Below are 19,910 nucleotides of genomic sequence, written 5' to 3'. Positions count from 1 at the left end.
GGATATGTGCCTGAGTTAATCAGAAGATTAATGAAGTGATTAACTCTGTAGAGGTGATTGTAGCCATAATCAACAGGCTACAAACATGTTTTACTACTCCTGCAAGTCTGCTTTTCACACACCATAGACAATGGTCCCGGTTAGGGGGAGATGAAGAGAAATAAAGAGAATGAGTCTGGTATTGATTTGGAATCCACTGTTAGAATAAAAATAGATACAGTCCCAAGTATCTGAAAATGTCAACTTCAGAGGCTTGGTCATTTTCAGGGATTTTAGTTTAGTTTAGTTTGTGAGACAGGGTCTCACTCTGTTGCCCAGGCTGGAGTGCAGGCATGCAATCATGGCTCACTGCAGCCTTGAACCTCCAGGTTCAAGTGATCCTCCCGAGTAGGTGGGATGACAGGTGTGCACCACCACACCCAGCTAATTTCCAAATATTTATTGTAGAGATGGGGCCTCGCTATGTTGTCTGGGCTGGTTCCAAACTACTGGGCTCAAGTGATCCTCGAGCCTCATCCTCACAAAGTACTGGGATTACAAGTGTGAGCCACTGTGCCCAGCCAGGTTTTTTGTTTTTGTTTTCTTTATTTGGAGTGGAGCAGCCTCAGTCCAAGACCCATCTTTCCTGATCATCTGTCACCTCCATGGGATCAGAGATCCAACACAGAGCCTGGCCATGGAGGGAACTGTGACATTTTTTTCAACAAAATTAAATGTCTTCAAAGACAAAATGAGAGCAGTAAGCATTATTCTTTGGCAACTCTAAGATCAAAGGTCGCTGCAAACAGTGTCATTAGCGTGAACATGCCCACTGTTCGCCAAGTTTTCAGTGAAAAGCCATCCCTGGTTTACCTACCTGTTCCCATGATCAATTTTGGCTGTGACTTTCTTCTTGAGCTCTGCCAGTTCATCCTTGGGGAGCGTCCCAGACAGGATCTGGGACCGCCACTCGATCAGGCTGTACGTCATCTGCTGCAGCTGGCGGAAGAGGGTGAGCTTGTTGTTCTAAGATGAGAAAATATGATGAAGAAAAGATTCTTAGAAAAAGGTGTGACAGAGGATGGGAACATCCTTTTTTTATTTGTTTGTTTTTAACGGGAATGTCAGACAGATGAGAGGGAACATCTTTTGGCCGATTCTTTTTTTTTTTTTTTTTGTGATGGAGTCTTGCTCTGTCACCCAGGCTGGAGTGCAGTAGCACTATCTTGGCTCACTACAACCTCTGCCTCCTGGGTTCAAGTAGAGACAGGGTCTCACCATGGATCTACCCGCCTCGGCCTCCCAAAGTGCTGGGATTATAAGCTTGAGCCACCACGCCTGGCCTGGTTGATTTTTTTTTTTTTTTTGAGACGGAGTCTTGCTCTGTTGCCCAGGCTGGAGTGCAGTGGCACAAACTCGGCTAACTGTAACCTCCACCTCCCAGGTTGAAGTGATTCTCCTGCCTCAGCCTCCTGAATAGCTGGGACTACAGGAGCATGCCACCACACCCAGCTAATTTTTGCATTTTTAGTAGAGATGGGGTTTCATCACGTTGGCCAGGCTGGTCTCGAACTCCTGACCTCAAGTGATCTGCCCGCCTTGGCCTCCCAAAGTGCTGGGATTAGAGGCATGAGCCACTGCGCCTAGCCTGATTCTTTATAAGGTGTTATTTAATCAATCGTGTCATAGAGTAAGCTGCATGCATCCAGGGATTTTAAGAAAATATATTAATAGGAATGGCTTTCTCCCGAGCCATTTCTACACCCTCCCCTCTTGCAACTGTGGAAACTGGTGATTGTAGGGTAAACAGTGGGTCATACTCACAAACATATCAAATCATCCATGTACCCTAAAACTCTAGCCATGCCCCTCCTGGGTTTAAAGCCCTCCAGTGAGTCTCAATGTCCTCCAGACACATATCTTGATCCTTCCATATCTTGACTCTTCCACACATTCCCAGCTGCATTTCATACCAGTCTCCACCCCAACAATCTATGTTCCCTTCCATGCAAAGTCACATCCATTTCTCTCCAAGGCTCCAGATCCTCTCAATATGTTATTTCTTCTTTTGTCCTCTTCCTCCAAATCTACCCCACCCCTATCCTTTTCTGACTCACACTACACCCTCTGCCAACTGGTAATTCTGATTTCTTCAGTCTCAACTTAGATGTCTCTACCTTGAAACTTCAACTTCATGTTAGCGGTCCCACCCACAGTGCCCAGAATTTGTTCCCATGATAGCATGGAGAACCCTGGGTTACACTGGCTCATCTGCCTCCCTGCTTAGCTGGTAGGCCTTTATAGGACAGAGAGTTTGTTCATTTGTGTGTCCCTAGAATATAGCTGGTATAAGTAGGCACTCTAGCAAATGTACTAAATGAGTGAATTATGAATGGAGAAATAATTATAATTTCAGAGATAAGAAATACTAGAAAATATAATTTTAAATATTATTTTAAAGTCCCCATTTCCCCAATTGTTAGACCATCCACATATTAAACTGTTAATCTTGGTTTCACTAGTAACTTACTGTAACCAAACTAAATTACCTTACAACTAACTAATCATTTGTTTTTCAATCATTTTAAGAATCAAATACTTGACACCTAAGCCATCACAAACTTCTAAATCAAGCTTGTCCAACCTGTGGCCCTGGATGGCTTTGAATGCAGCCCAATGCAACTTCATAAACGTTCTTAAAACATTATCATATTTTTTTTGCAATTTTTGTTTTTTAGCTCATCAGCTATCATTCATGTTAGTGTATCTCATATGTGGACAATTCTTCTTCCAATGTGGCCTAGGGAAGCCAAAAGATTGGACACCCCTGACCTAAATGATTGATGTCTTCATTTTAATTTTTTTTAAGTTAATGAGCATCCACTATGTGCTGGTAATAAAGTTTCTGCCCTCAAGGATCTAACATTCCAGAGAAGGTAAGACAGCAATAAGAAAGTAAATATATACGCCATATATTATATCATAATATATATACACACATGAGATAATTTCTGATGATGAAAAGTATAAGAAGAATAAATAGGACAATATGATCTTGCGTATATAGGGGAAGGATGTTACTTTAGGTACTGCGTTCAGAGAAAAGTCTTCTGTGTATCACTTTTGAAATGTTAGTTAAATAAAACCCCACAGAATTCCACTGAATCCACATATACTATGAATCTATTTCCTTCTTTCTTTTTTTTGGAAACGGAGTTTTGCTCTTGTTGCCCAGGCTAGAGTGCAATGGCGTGATCTCAGCTCACGACAACCTCCCCATCCCGCGTTCAAGTGATTCTCCTGCCTCAGCCTCCCAAGTAGCTGGGATTACAGGCATGCGCCACCACGCCCAGCTAATTTTGTATTTTTGGTAGAGATGGGGTTTCTCCATGTTGGTCAGGCTGGTCTCAAACTCCCGACCTCAGATGATCCGCCTGCCTCAGTCTCCCAAAGTGCTGGGATTATAGGCGTGAGCCACCACGCCCAGCCCCATTTCTTTCTTCTTTATAGTTGAAAGTCATGATATAGTTATATAACCATATACTTCTGAAATTATAAGAAAACATTCTTCTTATCTGCTGTAAAAACAACTCACACTGGCTGGGCGTGGTGGCTCACATCTGTAATCCCAGCACTTTGGGAGGCCGAGGCAAGAGGATCACTTGAGTCTCAGAGTTTGAGACCAGCCTGGGCAACATAGCGAGACCTTGTTTCTGTAAAATAAACAAACAAACAAACAAACAAAAAACCCCCCAAAAAACAATGCACACACAGAGAGAGATGTTGACAGCACACAATATTCTCTAGTGATGTCCTTCTATGACGATCCTAAGGACACAGATTCCTGGACCAGGTGTAGACTAGAAACAGGGCTGAAAACATCCAAAATACTCCTTAACAAAGAATAAATGAGGAGGAAAGAGGCCTTGGTGTAAAGTAGGGGGCAATGAACAAAACTGAGATTAGCAGAGTGTGTTGAAACCCTAACACAAGTTCAAAGTTCTGTGGCAACACAAAGGAAAGAGATGAACAACCCATTTATCTGTGATTGCAATATGCTCTGTTAACACCACTGATCTTAAAAAAACACAGAAGGCAAAGCCTGTTTAAAATTTTGAAACTACCTACATTTACTGCTTTTAGCATTTTCTGAATTGCCTCTTCCTCATCCCCCAGTCCTTAGCAAAACATAAAAATGAGGGCTTTTAAGATACTATTTTTAATAAGCAAAGGTAAAAACCCTGCTTTTTTCCTTCAATCTTATATAAAATGTTTCCATTTCATTTTCTTCAAAATTGGAAAAAGAAGTGAGAAATTAAGCCTGTCAGTTTTTGCTTTTCAAAACTGCTAAGCAGAAAGAGACTCTTGTTTTCTTTCTTGCAACGCATTTGTCCACTTTTAGCTATTCAAAGTGTTTTCTAATGTTAAGATATTGCTTCTCATAATATGGTAAAGAAAGGGTTCAAAGGCTCCGGGGATCCTCTGTGTGACACAGTGCTTTGTTTGGGGTACATGTGCACAAGTTCTTAGTCTCAGTTACATTAGACACTATCCGTGGCAATTTAATTATTGCCCGTCCATACCAGCCTTGTCTGCCAACTTTGTCCCCCAAGGAAGGATGAAGACAGTCATTCTTCTCTGATATACTGTGCCAAGTGAATTCTGAATAGACAAGCTATAACACACCAAAGGAAACAATTTCCCCATTCACTTCAAGGAGATGGACTTTGTTGCTACATTCCTAAGAGCGTTCTAAGCAAGATGTTTCACATAATAGTTGGTCCCTGACACTTCATGGGTTTTGGGGGAAGCATATGAGGACAGGTGAAGAGAAAACCAAACACTCACCAAAAGAGCACGGGCTGGCCGGGCGCAGTGGCTCACGCCTGTAATCCCAGCACTTTGGGAGGCCGAGGCAGGTGGATCACCTGAGGTCAGGAGTTCGAGACCAGCCTGACCAACACGGTGAAACCCCGTCTCTACTAAAAATACAAAAATTAGCTGGGTGTGGTGGCGGGTACCTATAATCCCAGCTACTCAAGAGGCTGAGGCAGGAGAATTGCTTGAACCCAGGAGGCAGAGGTTGCTGCAAGCCGAGATCACACCATTGCACTCTAGTCTGGGTGACAAGAAAGAAACTCCATCTCAAAAAAAAAAAAAAAAGAGCATATGCTAAGCTCCTCTGAGGCTCTATTTTCTCTCTCCAGTTGCTCTCCTTCCAGCTCTTTCTTTCCTGAATCCCATACTGCCCAGGCCCGCCTGTTGTAGAAGCCTTCTCGGTTATCTCTCGTCATCACTCACTTCAGCCTTTTCTGCATTATCCGCCACTGTCACATCATCCAAGAATTTCTGTGACCCTCTCCACAAAAGAGCACAATCCTGGAACACAATAGGGACTCAAAAACAAACTTTGACAGCTTAAATTTAAAATAACACTCTGTAATACTCTGCTTTCAATGTGAATGAAGAATGTGTCCACAAAATAAAACAATCTAAATTTTTTTCAAGATAGCAAAGATATTCCTGCATTTGCTTAAAATTTCTCCCTCTTCTACTTGGAGATACGGAGATACCTGAAGCCTCACTTTTTGTAGTTTTAGTCCAAATATTTATAACTTTTTTTTTTAATGGAGTCTCGCTCTGTCACCCAAGCTGGAGTGCAGTAGTGCAATCTTGGCTCACAGCAACCTCCACCTCCTGGGTTCAAACAATTCTCCTGCCTCAGCCTCCCAAGTAGCTGGGATCACAGGCACACACCACACAATGAGATAATTTTCTTATTTTTAGTAGAGACAGTGTTTTGCCATACTGGCCAGGCTGGCCTCGAACTTCTGACCTTAGGTGATCCTCCCACCTCGGCCTCCCGATGTTTATAACTTTTTTTTCTTTTTTTAGAATGTCTAGAGATAAACACAAAGTCACAAGAAAAAATAGCTTTGCCTTCAATACTCACAGGAAAGCAGGAGTATTATAGAAATTTGAGGGGCCATTTAGATGATGGCCCAGCTGCAATGGGTATTAGAAAACCTGGACTCTATTCTTCATTTTCCCAAAGAATGCAGACCACAGGGATGGGTAGAATGGTTCATGCCTATAATCTTAGCACTTTGGGAGGCTGGGGTAGGAAGACTGCTTGAGCCTAGGAGTTTGAGACCTGCATGGGCTAAAGACTCTGTCTCTACAAAATGGTAAGACTCTGTCTCTACAAAAAATAAAAAATTAGCCAGATGTGGTGGTGCACGCCTGTGGTCCCAGCTACCAAGGAGGCTGAGGTGGGAGGATTGCTTGAGCCTGGGAGTTTGAGGCACCAGTGAACTGTGACTGCACCACTGCCCTCCTGCCTGGGTGGCAGAACGAGACCCTATCTCTGAAAACAAAAAAAAAACAAAAAAGAGAAAAACAATGCAGACCACAGTCAAAAACCCTTTCTCTGGTCTTCTACCATTCCATGTATAAAAGAATCAATATTCACTCTGTTCACCAACCTTTCCTCTTCCATGCAGATTTTATGACTTAGGGGGAAACAGGCTTGGCTGAAAGTATGGGTACTTGGCTTCTATCTCGAATTCTATCATTAACTTGCTATGTGGCTTCGGGCATATTCCCTCTAGGGTAAACTCACATGTAAAATAAAGAGACTGGAACTAAAATCCATTCCCAAGGATAAGCGTCTTTGAGTCTATGACTGAGACATTAAACTCAATTACTCCTCCCAGGCAGCTTCCTGATTAACTGCATCTGACTCTGATCATCTCACTTGCTTGCACACTCAGTTGGCGTTGAATCAAATTTTCCCGGTGTCGAGCTCATTGCAATCAATCTCATGCCTTTTCCACGTAGCTGTAACACCTGGGTCCAGATGGGGTGTTTGGGTCCTTCTGTGTTCTTGAGCTACACTGACTCCAGGGACCCCGGGAAGAAGAGAATTCCCACTGCCCCAAACACGCTTCCTATCCATTCTAGTGCCTTTTCTCTGTGTCAGATAAAAGTGCAGTCTGACCAGCAAAGGTCTGATTTTTAAAGAAACCATTCAAGTTAAAGGCCATTTTTTGCCTCCTGAAGGAAAAGAAATCCTGACAGCCAGGCAACCAGGTCAGAGGAAATCAAAACTGGAAAAATACCCAAAGCACCACCCATGTCTGGTGCCCATCAGTCAGTCCCACGCCACATCTTGGCTCTCTTGTTAGAGCCACACTGAAGCAGGGCTTGCAACTCCCAGATAAAATGCCCTGACAAGAGGACAAAGTTTGCTATGGGAATTTTCTGTTCTTGGTAATAAGGAATAAGATGCTGGTTTCAAACCATGAGACCAGCTTAATTGTACTTCAGAGATTACGTTCCAGCAGCCAGTAATAACCACCGGTTCAAAGAGATTAGAATCCAGCAGCTTTAAACTGCCTGGATATGCGATGATGGGAAGAAAGGGCCATTCAGTATGTTCTGCAAGTTCCCCTACCCCCTCTTCCCAGTTATAGGCACTTTTTCTGCTCCTGATTTTTCCAGAACTATAGACTGCCACAGGGTTCTTTATTGCTGGCAAATTTTAAGTGAGGGGAGATCAGTCCTTTGTACAAACTACATGTTAGCAATTAAATTCACTTGATTGGCTGGGCATAGTGGCTCACACCTGTATCCCAGCACTTTGGGAGGCCAAGGCGAGCAGATCACCTGAGATCAGGAGTTTGAGACCAGCCTGGCCAACATGGTGAAACCCCTTCTCTACTGAAAATACAAAAATTAGCCAGGCGTGGTGATGCGCACCTGTAATCCCAGCTACTCCGGAGACTGAGGCATGAGAATCGCTTGAACCCTGGAGGCAGAGGTTGCAGTGCGCCAAGATCTCACTACTGCACTCCAGCCTGGGCGAGAATAATGAAACTACATCTCAAAAAAAAAAATAATAATAAATTCACTTGATTCAACACTATGCCTTCAATACCTTCTATCACCAAAAAAGATCTTCTATCTCTTTTCCATAAGGAGTAGGATTAGATCCAGTCTTCCAAAGTTACACGAACAAAACAGCCCGATTGACCACAATTCACTGAACCCTTTCTCCCATGGGAAGATGAGGAATAGCACGAAACTAAATCTTAGGGTGAGATGGTGCACAGCATGTTTATGGCATCCAAACACCTTAGAATTTACAGGACAGTCCTGTATTTGAAAACTCTTGCCCTACTGTGTCCACGAATACACTGCAATTCTTCAGTTTCAAGACCAGATTTTTAGTTGAAAAAGTATGATCCTTTGACTTGAGATGTAGAATTGTTTATATTCAAAAAGTATAACTGAGTTGTTATCGACAAGATAAAAGTTAGACATTACACGAATCCGACCGTGTCTAAGTCACTGCATGGGCATCCGCCCATCTAGCACGGGGATCTGCCCTGATTCCACCTCAGCCGTGTGGAAGCAGGAAGAGGTGTTGACAGAAAGGAAAAGAGGCCAAAGATCAGCTCGCTGGAGCTGCTTTCCAAGGCTGGGAAGAATAGTGGATAGAAAATCTGAAACCCATCGACCTAGTTAAGTTACTACGGGGCTGGAGGGAGGCTAGACATTATCTGCCCACCCCTTCTGCCCGAAGCTGGAAGATGGGGAATAACCACAGTAGGTGGGCAACTGCACCCTTACATGACCTCAAGGCAAACGTCACTAAATCTTCTAGTGTGATCCAGCTCTTCTCTTACACTTCTCATTATCAATCAGCTCTTTCTAGGAGCAGAGTTGTGAGGGGTTAGTCAGGGGCTGTCATGTATTGACCACAGTGTGACAGGTACTACCCTGGGGTTTTATACAGACTATCCCGCTGAATCCTTACAATAAATTTGCAAGGCATATAGCACATAAAATCCCCACTTAAGAGAAGAAAAGAAAACTTAAGGAGATCAAGGGACTTGTCTTAGGCAGCAGGATCAGCTAGTAGCCTTCTGCATCCAAGTTCTTTCTGTTTTGGTTTATTTTCAGTAACTATTACTGGGTTTGTCATTTTTTTCTGAATATAATAGTACATACCCAGTAAGGGAGAAGCCAGAACTTAAGAACTAGGCAGTCTGTCTGACTCCAATGTCCAAGGTCTTGGTACGTCACCAGGAGGTCTCCTTGATCACAATGTTCCCTCCTTTCCTGAACAACCAATGAAAACACACCCAGTGACTAGTTCCAACTGAGGCACAGCAGTATAGGGAAAGACCATCAGAAACTGCCATACATTTGCAGTTTCTCTGTATTTTGGAATGACCCGGGCCTCCTGGACTTGAATTTAAACCAAGCAGGTTCTCTATGTATGGTGAGAAATTTAGCTTGGCTGCTGAGTGCTCAAGGCCACTTTGCCTAAGATAATTGTTCCAAAGGAAGCGACCTTGGATAAGGGGCCATACAGAAGGGAGCTTCAGAGTCTTGGGCAGGCAGTCGGGTAAGAGAGAAGCTATGCCAAGGCTTCCCAGAGGGAGGGTGTCCAGATGGCTACTGCTTCCAGCTAAGATAACATCAAAAGCACATGCTCCCATTGGCGGAGTCCTTGTGGTCTGTCAGCAGCACAGATCACAGCCACTCTCTCTTTCCATACTCTCAGAGTTCTACGCGGTCAACACGGCAGCTTTTACATCAACTTTTGCAGAGGAACAACATCCAGCAGACTTGAAGTGTTCAAGTGACTTGCCCAAGGCCACAGAACTGGTCAGAACAGGACCCGCACAGGATACTCAGCTTCCCAATTCCTGGGCCAGTGTCTGTCTCCTAAAACCCGCTTCCTCTCCTGAGCATAAGGCCAACACCCACTGGGGAAGATAATCCAACAGAAAACAATAATAATATACCTAAGGAACAGAGAGACCACGGGGGGAGTCATCTGTTCTCTCCATTTTGGATAAGTGGGTTCACCTCTGTTCTGTGTACATACTCCCCTCCCCTTTAAGACATATTTATGATTATTCTACATGGTTACCGTATAACTGCTAAAAATAAATCACAGCTAGGCAAATATTTTTCTTTTCTAGAATAATCACCAGCGTCTACATGGCTGGGGTTAATCTGGTTAGTGGACTGCATTTTCCCCTCATATGAGACTGTGGATCCACAACGTACATTTCTGGTGAACTGAGACTGAAAAGAAAAGAACAAGGAAATGTACTATAGAAATGTGGGATTTCTAAGACATCACAGGTATCTTTTTTTTTTTTTTTTTTTTTTTTTTTTTTTGAGAAAGGGTCTTACTGTGTCACCCAGGCTGGAATGCAGTGGTATAATCATGGCTCACTGCAGCTTCAACCACCCGAGCTCAAGCAATCCTCCCACCTCAGCCTTCTGAGTAGCCTAGATTACAGGTATGTGCCACTGTGCCCAGCTAATTTTTGTAGAGATAGGGTCTTGCTATGTCACCCAGGCTGGTCTCAAACTGCTGGACTCAAACAATCCCCCAGGCTTGACCTCCCAAAGGGATGGGATTACAGGCGTGAGCCACTAGCTGGCCACAGGTGTCTTTAAAGACATCAAACAGAGCGTCTGGTGTTGTAATCTACAGGGGGAAATGCAAGAGAGAAATAATACAAGTATTGCTACATACTAGTAAAATCTGTATTTATCTTTACATGGACTGAAGGAACTTACAGAATCAGAAAGCAAAAACATCAATAACAGCATACAGCAGGTGAAAGGAGATGGGACACGAAAACCAGAGATTTGGGTTTTTACTTGTTTCCTAGTGAAACATAATATTGATGTTTGCTACTTTGATACAGAAACGTTTCAGTAAGAAGTTCAGAAGTTCTGCCTCAAGTTAACTGTCAATGCTTTAGGAAGGGACAGGAAAAAAAAAAAAGAGAAAGCCACAATTAATACTAGGATGGTACAAAAATAATTGTGGGTTTTGCCATTTAAAGTAACGGTGAAAGCCACAATTACTTTTGCACTAACCATAATAACAAATCTTAGTGGATTGTTCCTTACTGGATGAGCATGTATCAAGAGCAGAAGCAGGTTTCTCAGTCCTATCGACTGACTGAGAATTTCTACAAAGAATGTCTTTTAGTCAATCAACAGCGGCTATAAGACATTTTAAATTATTCACAAATACCAAAATAATTATGTTATTAGATATCTAAATTAAAATGAGAAATGTGCTGCCCTCGAAGAGGGGATGGCTTTTTTTTTTTTTTTTTTCTTTTTTTTTTTAAACGGAGTCTCCCTCTGTCTCCCAGTCTGGAGTGCAATGGCACAATCTTGGCTCACTGCAACCTCCGCCTCTCGGGTTCAAGTGATTCTTCTGCCTCAGCCTCCCGAGTAGCTGGGACTACAGGTGGCCACAACCATGCGCAGCTAATTTTTGTATTTTTAGTAGAGACAGGGTTTCACCATATTAGCCAGGCTGGTCTTGAACTCCTGTCCTTGTGATCCGCCCACCTCAGCCTCCCAAAGTGCTGGGATTACAGGCGTGAACCACTGCGCCTGGCCTTTTTTTTTTTTTTAACCAAATTCTGCTACTACAACATGAAACTCTCCCACCAAGGAAATGTTCAACAAGACCTTATCACCTTTAACTACTAAGAGATTTTGGCAGCCAAAATACATGAGTCCTAATTCTTCATCCCCGTTCACTTTTTTTTTTTTTTTGAGACGGAGTTTCACTCTTTTCCCCCAGGCTGAAGTGCAACAGTGTGATCTTGGCTCACTGCAACCTCTGCCTCCCCAGTTCAAGCGATTCTCCTGCGATTCTCCTGCCTCAGCCTCCCGAGTAGCTGGGATTACAGGCACAAGCCACTACACCCAGCTAATTTTTGTATTTTTAGTAGAGAAGGGGTTTTACCATATTGGGACGGGCTGGTTTTGAACTCGTGACCTCAAGTGATCCGCCGTCCTCAGCCTCCCAAAGTGCTGGGATTACAGGCACGAGCCACTGCACCTGGCCCCCATTCACTTCTTTCTTCATTCTATTCAATGGTAGACCTGGCACAATTACTTGTGGATGTGTAGAAGACATAGGTAATAAACTGGGCACACCAGTTGTGTTTTAGCAAGAAAAAAAGTCGGCCTCACTCATACTCTCCAGTCTCATACATCTTTAAAAAAAAAAAAAAAAACTCCTTTCCCAATACTGATTATCTAATGCATTTCAACACTCATCAATTTCCAGAAAGAACATGTTAAGGAACCAACCCACGTACACGCAATTCCTCATCCATCAACCTTGTTACATCCACCCAACTAACTAATCAATAAACCAGAACCAGAGAGTACTCTCAATATAAGTGCAAGATGATCAATGAAGGCCACGGGGCTGACAGCAGTGTCTCCATCCTCCTTGTGATTTAGCAACTTAATGTGCATTCTCTCTTCAACTAAACATAAAGAGATCAAAAGATCACCTTTATTATGAAGCAGTGTGCCCCAAGGGTCAGATGATGAGTTTAGCAGTAAGTGCTTCTATTGTCCAGAGGGAAACGTTATAGATTGCTATGTTTAGAAAATACAATATGAAGAAGAAAGCGTCTAAACAAGGTCTTGAAGGATGACCAAGTAGAGAAATACCATGTGCTTTTCCACCAAAGGGGTTGGTGATTTCTACTGCTGTGATTAACCAAGGGAAACAACAGCCCTGAATGAAAATGAAATATCTTCCATGAACTCTTATAAGTTATGCCAAAATTAGCTTTTGATTACTGCCTTCAGTATTTAGGGTCTAGAGTGAGGTATTCCCAGTAACTTATTAAGATTGGCTTTTCAGAGTTAAAATGAATCAACACATGACTGAACAAAAATTGAGACAAACAAAGCCACATAAAGAAAAGAGGAGGGTTCCCAGGCCATCAAGTCTGGTCTACAACCTCCCTGAACTTGTACACACATCTAACGAGAGAATATACATTCGCCATAGGAATTTCTGGTCAGCCACAGAAGGCTGGAACCCACTAACAGAGGCAAGACCCAGTGATGCTGAACTACAAGGGCTATAGGCAAAGAAGCAACTTTAGAATAAACAGTCTTTGTGGGCGGGGCACAGTGGCTCACGCCCGTAATCCCAACACTTTGGGAGGCCAAGACAGTTGGATCACTTGAGGTCAGGAGTTCAAGACCAGCCTGCCCAGCATGGTAAAACCCCATCTCTACTAAAAACACACACACAAAATTAGCCGGCCATGGTGGCTCACTCCTGTAATCTCAACACTTTGGGAGGCCAAGACACATAGATCACTTGAGGTCAGGAGTTCAAGACCAGCCTGGCCAACATGGTGAAACCTTGTCTCTATTAAAAATACAAAAAAAAAAAAAAATTAGCCAGGCGGGGTGGCACACGCCTATAGTCCCAGCTACTTGGGAGGCTGAGGCAGAATTGCTTGAACTTGGGAGGCGGAGGTTGCAGTGAGCTGAGATGGTGTCACTGCACTCCAGCCTGAGTGACAGAGCGAGACTCCATCTCAAAAAAATAAATAAATAAAATAAAAAGTCTTTGTGGATTCCAATGTTAACATTAAGGAGGAGAATGGCATGAACCCAAGAGGCGGAGCTTGCAGTGAGCCGGGACAGCGCCACTGCAGTCCAGCTTGGGCGAAAGAGTGAGACTCCGTCTCAAAAAAAAAAAAAAACATTAAGGAAAGAGCTTTCTACACTGGAGATGAGGCAGACTTGCTGCCAATAGACTTTGAGCATCCTTGGTCTCTTGCAAGACAGCTGTTCTCAGTTTCATCATGTTAAATGCTAGATTTACTTGGTGCTGATTCCTGCACACAACTTGAGCTTATTGTTTATTACGGAGAGGATGTGCTGGCTCCTTGTAATTTCCCTGTGAACTGACACACTGTATTAGCATTATGAGGTCAAACCAGTGTTGGGAGAAAGAATACTGTGAGTCTGCCCAAAAAGGTGACTCTCAGACCACAACTTAACACTATTCAAGTTTCTGAGTCTGTAAGGTATGTGGGCCAAGGTAAAGAATGTCATCCTCATGCAGCTGAGCCCTGAAATATCGATAAATTTCAGTTCACTGGTATACATGAAGAGGCTAAGAGCATGACTCAGGTTCCTTATTAACAAATTAATAATAATTGCACCTACTTTATAGGAATGTTGTGAGGATTCATAGTTTCTGGCACTTAGGAAAGACTGCAGAAGTGTTTGCAGTGATTATTATCATTAGTACTTTCACAATCAGCATGTTTATCATTTGAGAAAAGACTGCTAGAATGATTACGCCCAGTTACTCCACTACCCGCTATCAGTGACCCAGCTCTGGGGAAATGAGAATCTGCTGCTTATCAGCCTTTGTGTGATCCAGGGAGAATGCATCCCACTCCATGAAGTCAGCAATAAGGGGCCAACACCCTGCAAAGGACCTACAGGCTGAGGACCCAGAGTGACCCTGGGGCTCCAAGCCACAAGGGGAAACTCACCACGTAGAGCTTTCGCCAGATGACAGCCCATTCTCGCAGAGTGGACGTGAGCTCCTGCACCAGGGGGAGCTCGCCAGGAATCACGGTTTCATGCTGCCTACAAAGAACCAAACGAGGGTCACTTTCTTCTAGGCTGATCAGCACTGCTTTACTTGATGGGGATCAGACTTCCCAACGTTCAAGGTTGAGAATGAAGCTGGTTAGGCCTGGGGGCAGGAGTTGTGCAGGGGACTTTATCGCATCCAAGCATCTGGGAGAAGAGAAGGAGAGTAAGGCAGCACAGTCCTCAAAATGGGCTCCGTTCCTGCAACTGAATGAGCCTGCGGCCCAGCCTCGACCTCCCCAGTGTAGATTTCTCCAGGAGACTCGATTACTGAGCCAGGCTGGCTTCAGTGATTCTCAAAGATGGAAGCAAAATATGCAGCATTTTAGCTGGTTCCACCAAGCAGCTGTTTCATTTGGGAGGCTGGATGGAAAGGTGTGTGTGGCACGAGTGTCCTGGGGCTGTGACTCCACCCAGGACCTGGTTGGGGCAGAGGCCAGGGTAGAGGTGGGGGATACGGAGGCAGCACCCCTTTCTGGAATAGTCCCATGTTTTCTTCTCATCTGCAGTTTCACAACACAGAAAACGTACACTTAACAAAATCCTTGCTTACTCACAGAAGACTCTCATAAAGGTAGGTACTACATTTATTCACAGAAATCCTCTCTGGCATTTTTATGATTAGCAAAAAGAAAAAAGGAGAAAGCAAGAGCAAGCAAACAAATTGGAACTGGTGGTAGGACTGCCAGGCTCAATGAGGAAAAATATAGGAGACCTAGTTAAGTTTGAATTTCTGGTATAGTAAGATTTTTTAGAATAAGTGTGACCCATGAAATATCTGGGAAATGCTTACTATGAAAAATTACTTACTATTTGAATTGCCAATGTAACTGGGCATCCTGTATAACCCTAATTGGTGTGAATGTGCCTCCCCACCTACGTTTCCTCCAACATGGTGGGTGGCAGTGGAGGCAGCCCACGGCCCACCGGAAAGAGGACTTCTCCAGCAGGGCAGGAGACCTGGTTTTTGGTCCTGGTTCTGCCACCAAAGAGCTGTACGGCTTTGAGGACATCTTGACCACTTGTCTATGAAATGATGGTTCTGCCATTTCTTGTTCCCTGTGCTGTATCTGGGAGTCTGGAGCGATGAAGACCTCTGTGCTCTTGGTGGGCCCTTCCTCTTTTTTTTTACTGTTTTGGAATCCTTTTGAACTTGACCCAGCAACAGTTTCAATGTGTTCTGATGATTGGTTGTTAGTCAGAATGAAAATAAGGCCCTTTGGTAACAACACGGAAATTAGAATTGATGACATACACCTGGGAGATAACTGTCCTGTAACAAGACTGTTCTCATTTAACTATGAGTTTTCTTATCCTGTCACTTCTTGTGGAATCAAGAAAATTACGTTCCAAAGAAATGATGTTGCCCTATTATCAGTTACAGACCAATGTTGCATACTACCTATGAATTTCCAGTGGTTTGCTTTGTGAAGAGGCTTAAATTCCCATCTGTGATGCATTTTGGAATGAGCGGGTTTGAGGCCAACGCTCATTTGAAAGATAATACTCAAAAAACGAAAGGACAAGAGTCATCGGCTCCCACACAAAGTAAAACATGTGAACATAATTTTAGCAGTGTTAATAAGGAGCAATTATCCACAAGTCACTGCAACAAAAACGCCTGTGTCATAACATCCTCTCCTCCCTGAGGCACGGGAGCAAGTGGCACATACTTGCCTGGGAACCAGTTTCATCAATTCTGCTGTTGTATGGGTCCAAAGATGAGGAGGAATATCTGTTACCAATTTCACTGCCTTTTGGAGTTTTGGATAACAGATCTATACCGTGACATTTACACTTTTTAAACAGTTAATTTTAAGTGGAATTGCCATTCTAATTTTGTGAAATCAAGTTCATACAAAATAAAGCTTGCCCATCATAATTAAAAAAAGAAAAGAAAACAAAAGAAAAGAAATGATGGTGCTGAACTACAACTGGGAATGCTCTTTCTAGCTGTGAGGCTGCATGGTTCTGTGACCCAGCTGTCCACTCTCTCCTCGGCCCCACTCTCCTCTCCATCAGCCCCAGGATTCCAGTCCTACCCCAGCCTCTCCGTACTGCCTCCAGAATTCTCCTGTCCAGAGACTCACCATCACCTAAGTCACCTCTCTCTCTCCCACTTAGACTAAGTAGCTCACTCTTCTTAGCTGTCACAGAGGCAGTACTTCCCAGGACAAATGAGGTGGGCAAGATGAGGTGGGCAAGAAATATGAATACCCAAAATATAGCAGATCTTATCTTCAGGGCACATTTGCATACATTACCTCATTCGAATCTCATGACAAGCTCATGATCAAAGTAGGGTCAGATTGTTTCCCCTAATATGCTGTGAAAAACCCAGGATCCACTTAAGTTTAAGTGATTCATCCAAGGCTCAGAGCTGGTAAATGCAGGCTGTTGCTTAATCATCTCTCTCTCAAGGATCCTGAATTGGGGGCTTCTCAGATCTTATCAGTCAGAGTCCCAAATGTTCATGTGTGCAAACATACACACACGCACACACACACAATCAGTGAACAGATAATAAATGTAATGTAGAGGCAAAAGCCCTCAGTTTTTGCTACTTCTGTGTTTAGTATTCTGGAGAAGTAATGGAAAGGAGGAACAATTATAGAAAGAGAAGACAGAGGAAGGAATTGTATGAGTGAAAAGTTTTTCTTCATTTCTCTCTCATAGGAGAAGTAGAACTGATGAGATGAGAGAAATTTTTTAATTTTATTTTTTTTTGAGAGAGAGTCTTGCTCTGTCACCCAGGTTAGAGTGTAGTGGTATGATCTCAGCTCACTGCGAGCTCTGCCTCCTGGGCTCGAGTGATTCTCCTGCCTCAGCCTCCCCAGTAGCTGGGATTACAGGCACCCACCACCAAGCCCAGCTAACTTTTGTATTTTTAGTAGAGATGGGGGTTTTACCATGTTGGCCAGGCTGGTTTCGAACTCCTGACCTCAAATGATCTGCCCACCTCGGTCTCCCAAAGTGCTGGGATTACAGGCGTGAGCCACCACGCCTGGCCTGAGATGAGAGAACTATTAACGTACATAAGGCATTAATGCCTAAAGATTATCATTAATGATAATGTTACATCTTCATCATTTTTGGGGAATCTTCCTAGCTTGGAACTTACCCCAGGTCTTCCACAGTTGCCTCTTTCAAATGGATATATGTTTCAGGGAAAATGCCCTACAGAGAAAAGAATTTTGGTTATATGGCCATAAAAACAAAACAAAAACCAAACAAAAACACCTCAGCCCAAAGTAAAGAGAATAAATGGGAACACCCAGGCAATAGCTAAACTCCTGAGATCAGGTTGGCAGGACACCACTTACGTTGACTGGCTACCTCCACAAAAGCATGGTGGAAACATCAAAAAGGTAGAAATTAAAATTTGGGTTCAGAGAGCATAGGATATTTTGTGAATGAAGAGGCAAACATGCTGTGTCAGCTCAGAGATAACATAATGGGAAGGAGTGTAATTGTGAACTCCTAAACCCCTCAGATGCTACTTGCCATGAGATGCTTCCCATAAGTTTCACATAAGGGGTGACATGGAAACTATGCAGTACTCAGTAGCCCATAAAATAAGTCATCCCTCAGAATATGCAAGGGGTTGGTTCCAGAAACCTCCTTCCCACAAAGCATATACCCAAATCCACACATACTCAAGTATGGCACGCAGCCCTGCACAACCCGCATATACTTTTACACAGGTTTCATGTCCCAAGAATATTGTAATTTTGATTTGCATTTGGCTAAAAAAAAAAAATCCATGTGGAAGTGCTGCAGAGTTCAAACTCATATTTTTCACGGGTCAACTACATAGTGATTTTTCTAAAGTAGTTCCTCTCAGCACTCCCACTTAAACCAAATGCACTCAAAATCAACGGGTGTTAGTTACCTGGTTATTTTCAGCACCTCACAGTGTCAAACTGCTCTCCATTCTATATCCCTAAGAGGCAGTTCTACATCAGTATTGTAACACTGCCCATGGGGAAGACTTAGGCCTGGAAAGACCTAAGAGAAAGAGGAGAAACTGGTGGATAGAAATCAGAGAACAGAGGACCAGATCTAACCAACAGGAAGCAAGTCCCAGATGTGAGTGTTATGTGTACCAAAGCTTCTGCTGTTTACTGTGTGATATGCTCACACACAGAGGAGATGTCATCCGGAGACAGTGATGCTGATCTGTTTCATGGTATCTTACATGGAGCTTATACCTGGCACTGTTGGCTAACTGCTCCCAGCCCTATTCCTGGAAGAGTTGGTGTGAACTCCATGAACATGACATGTCAGGGGTGGCTGATCATAAAGGTGGGAGGGGATGTCCCAGTGCCCGGAGGCATATATACCCACTGATCCTTACTCCACTCAGACAGGAAACCAGTGAACATTGACAGGGTTGTTCTTGTGTCCAGTTGCATGTGCTATATTTGTCTGTACAACACTCTGCTTTCTCTCTTTTAATCCGTTGCCAATAAAACAGGAAACAGCAAGAACATTTGAGATTAAACTGCCCCTAGCATTGGTGATGACAGAGTGGATCCTGCATGTGCTTCCCCACCAGACACAAAGCCCCAAATAAAAAGTACATCCCTTCTCCTCCTCGCTTTGAGACGGGGGCAGGCGTGGGGAATATGAGTGTGAATTCTAATCCCGTTACTGATGAGACCAAGAACACACACAGACACAAGGTGACAATGACCTCTTTCATTATGGAGGTGGGATTCAGAACCATTTTGGAAAACTGATCAAATAATTGAAAACAAAAATTAAATGTGTGTCTACTGTGGGGCACAGTAGACAGGACACTTTCTCAATGCGCCACCCCTCAGGTCAGGTGAGTTTGGCCATGGAATTCTATCAGTATAAAACATACACGCATAGGCACACCATCGAAGTGAAAAAGAAGGAGATAAGTCTTCTGACTATTTATTCATTCATGCGTTCATTCATTTATTCATTCTTTGAGACAGAGTCTTGCTCTGTTGCCCAGACTGGAGTACAGTCGCACAATTTCGGCTCACTGCAACCTCCGCCCTCCGGGCTCAAGCAGTTCTCCTGCCTCAGCATCCCAAGTAGCTGGGATTACAGGTATGCACCACCATGCCCGGCTAATTTTTGTATTTTTAGTAGAGACAGGATTTCACCATATTGGCCAGGCCAGGCTGGTCTTCAACTCTTAACCTCAAGTGATCAGCTCACCTCAGCCTCCCAAAGTGCTGGGATTACAGGTATGAGCCATGTGCCTGGTCTATTTAATTTTTTTAATGATCAAAACAGGGAACTGTCCTTTGCAGTGCCAGGCATGCAGCAGGCACTGAGTAAACATCTGATGAATATAGCAATGAGAAAGGAGGGTGTTCAGTTCAAAAACTGCGTGTGATTCCTCTGGGGCCTGATTTCTGCAGTTCGGAAGCTCTAGGCCTGTCCCTAGGAGGCCTAAGGAACTC

General features: G+C 43.6%; 1 protein-coding gene and 1 pseudogene across 1 annotated transcript in view, besides 1 other annotated feature; one reads left to right on the top strand and one right to left on the bottom strand.

Annotated features, from left to right (window-relative positions):
* Window positions 1–19,910, bottom strand: part of DOCK5 (dedicator of cytokinesis 5) — a 231,023-nt gene that overhangs the window by 122,683 nt on the left and 88,430 nt on the right. The window contains exons 4-6 of the mRNA NM_024940.8: window positions 17,588–17,643; window positions 14,364–14,460; window positions 857–1,005 (exon numbers count right to left, since the gene is read on the bottom strand). Of these exons, the coding sequence (NP_079216.4) occupies window positions 857–1,005; window positions 14,364–14,460; window positions 17,588–17,643 (302 nt within the window). The remainder of the gene's footprint in view (window positions 1–856; window positions 1,006–14,363; window positions 14,461–17,587; window positions 17,644–19,910) is intronic.
* Window positions 10,322–10,616: a silencer, noted in NCBI's record as "tiled region #2993; K562 Repressive non-DNase unmatched - State 24:Quies". NCBI's record gives its function as "represses a minimal TATA promoter and a strong SV40 promoter by Sharpr-MPRA in K562 cells {active_cell/tissue: K562}" and the evidence as "EXISTENCE:reporter gene assay evidence [ECO:0000049][PMID:27701403]".
* On the top strand, window positions 15,499–16,115 carry LOC124901864 (oocyte-secreted protein 4B-like; annotated as a pseudogene).

This window comes from Homo sapiens, chromosome 8 (genome assembly GCF_000001405.40).
Source record: "Homo sapiens chromosome 8, GRCh38.p14 Primary Assembly".
Classification (NCBI taxonomy): Eukaryota; Metazoa; Chordata; class Mammalia; order Primates; family Hominidae; genus Homo; species Homo sapiens.
Note: the sequence above shows the minus strand (reverse complement) of the source record. Positions and strands in the feature narration are given on the sequence as shown.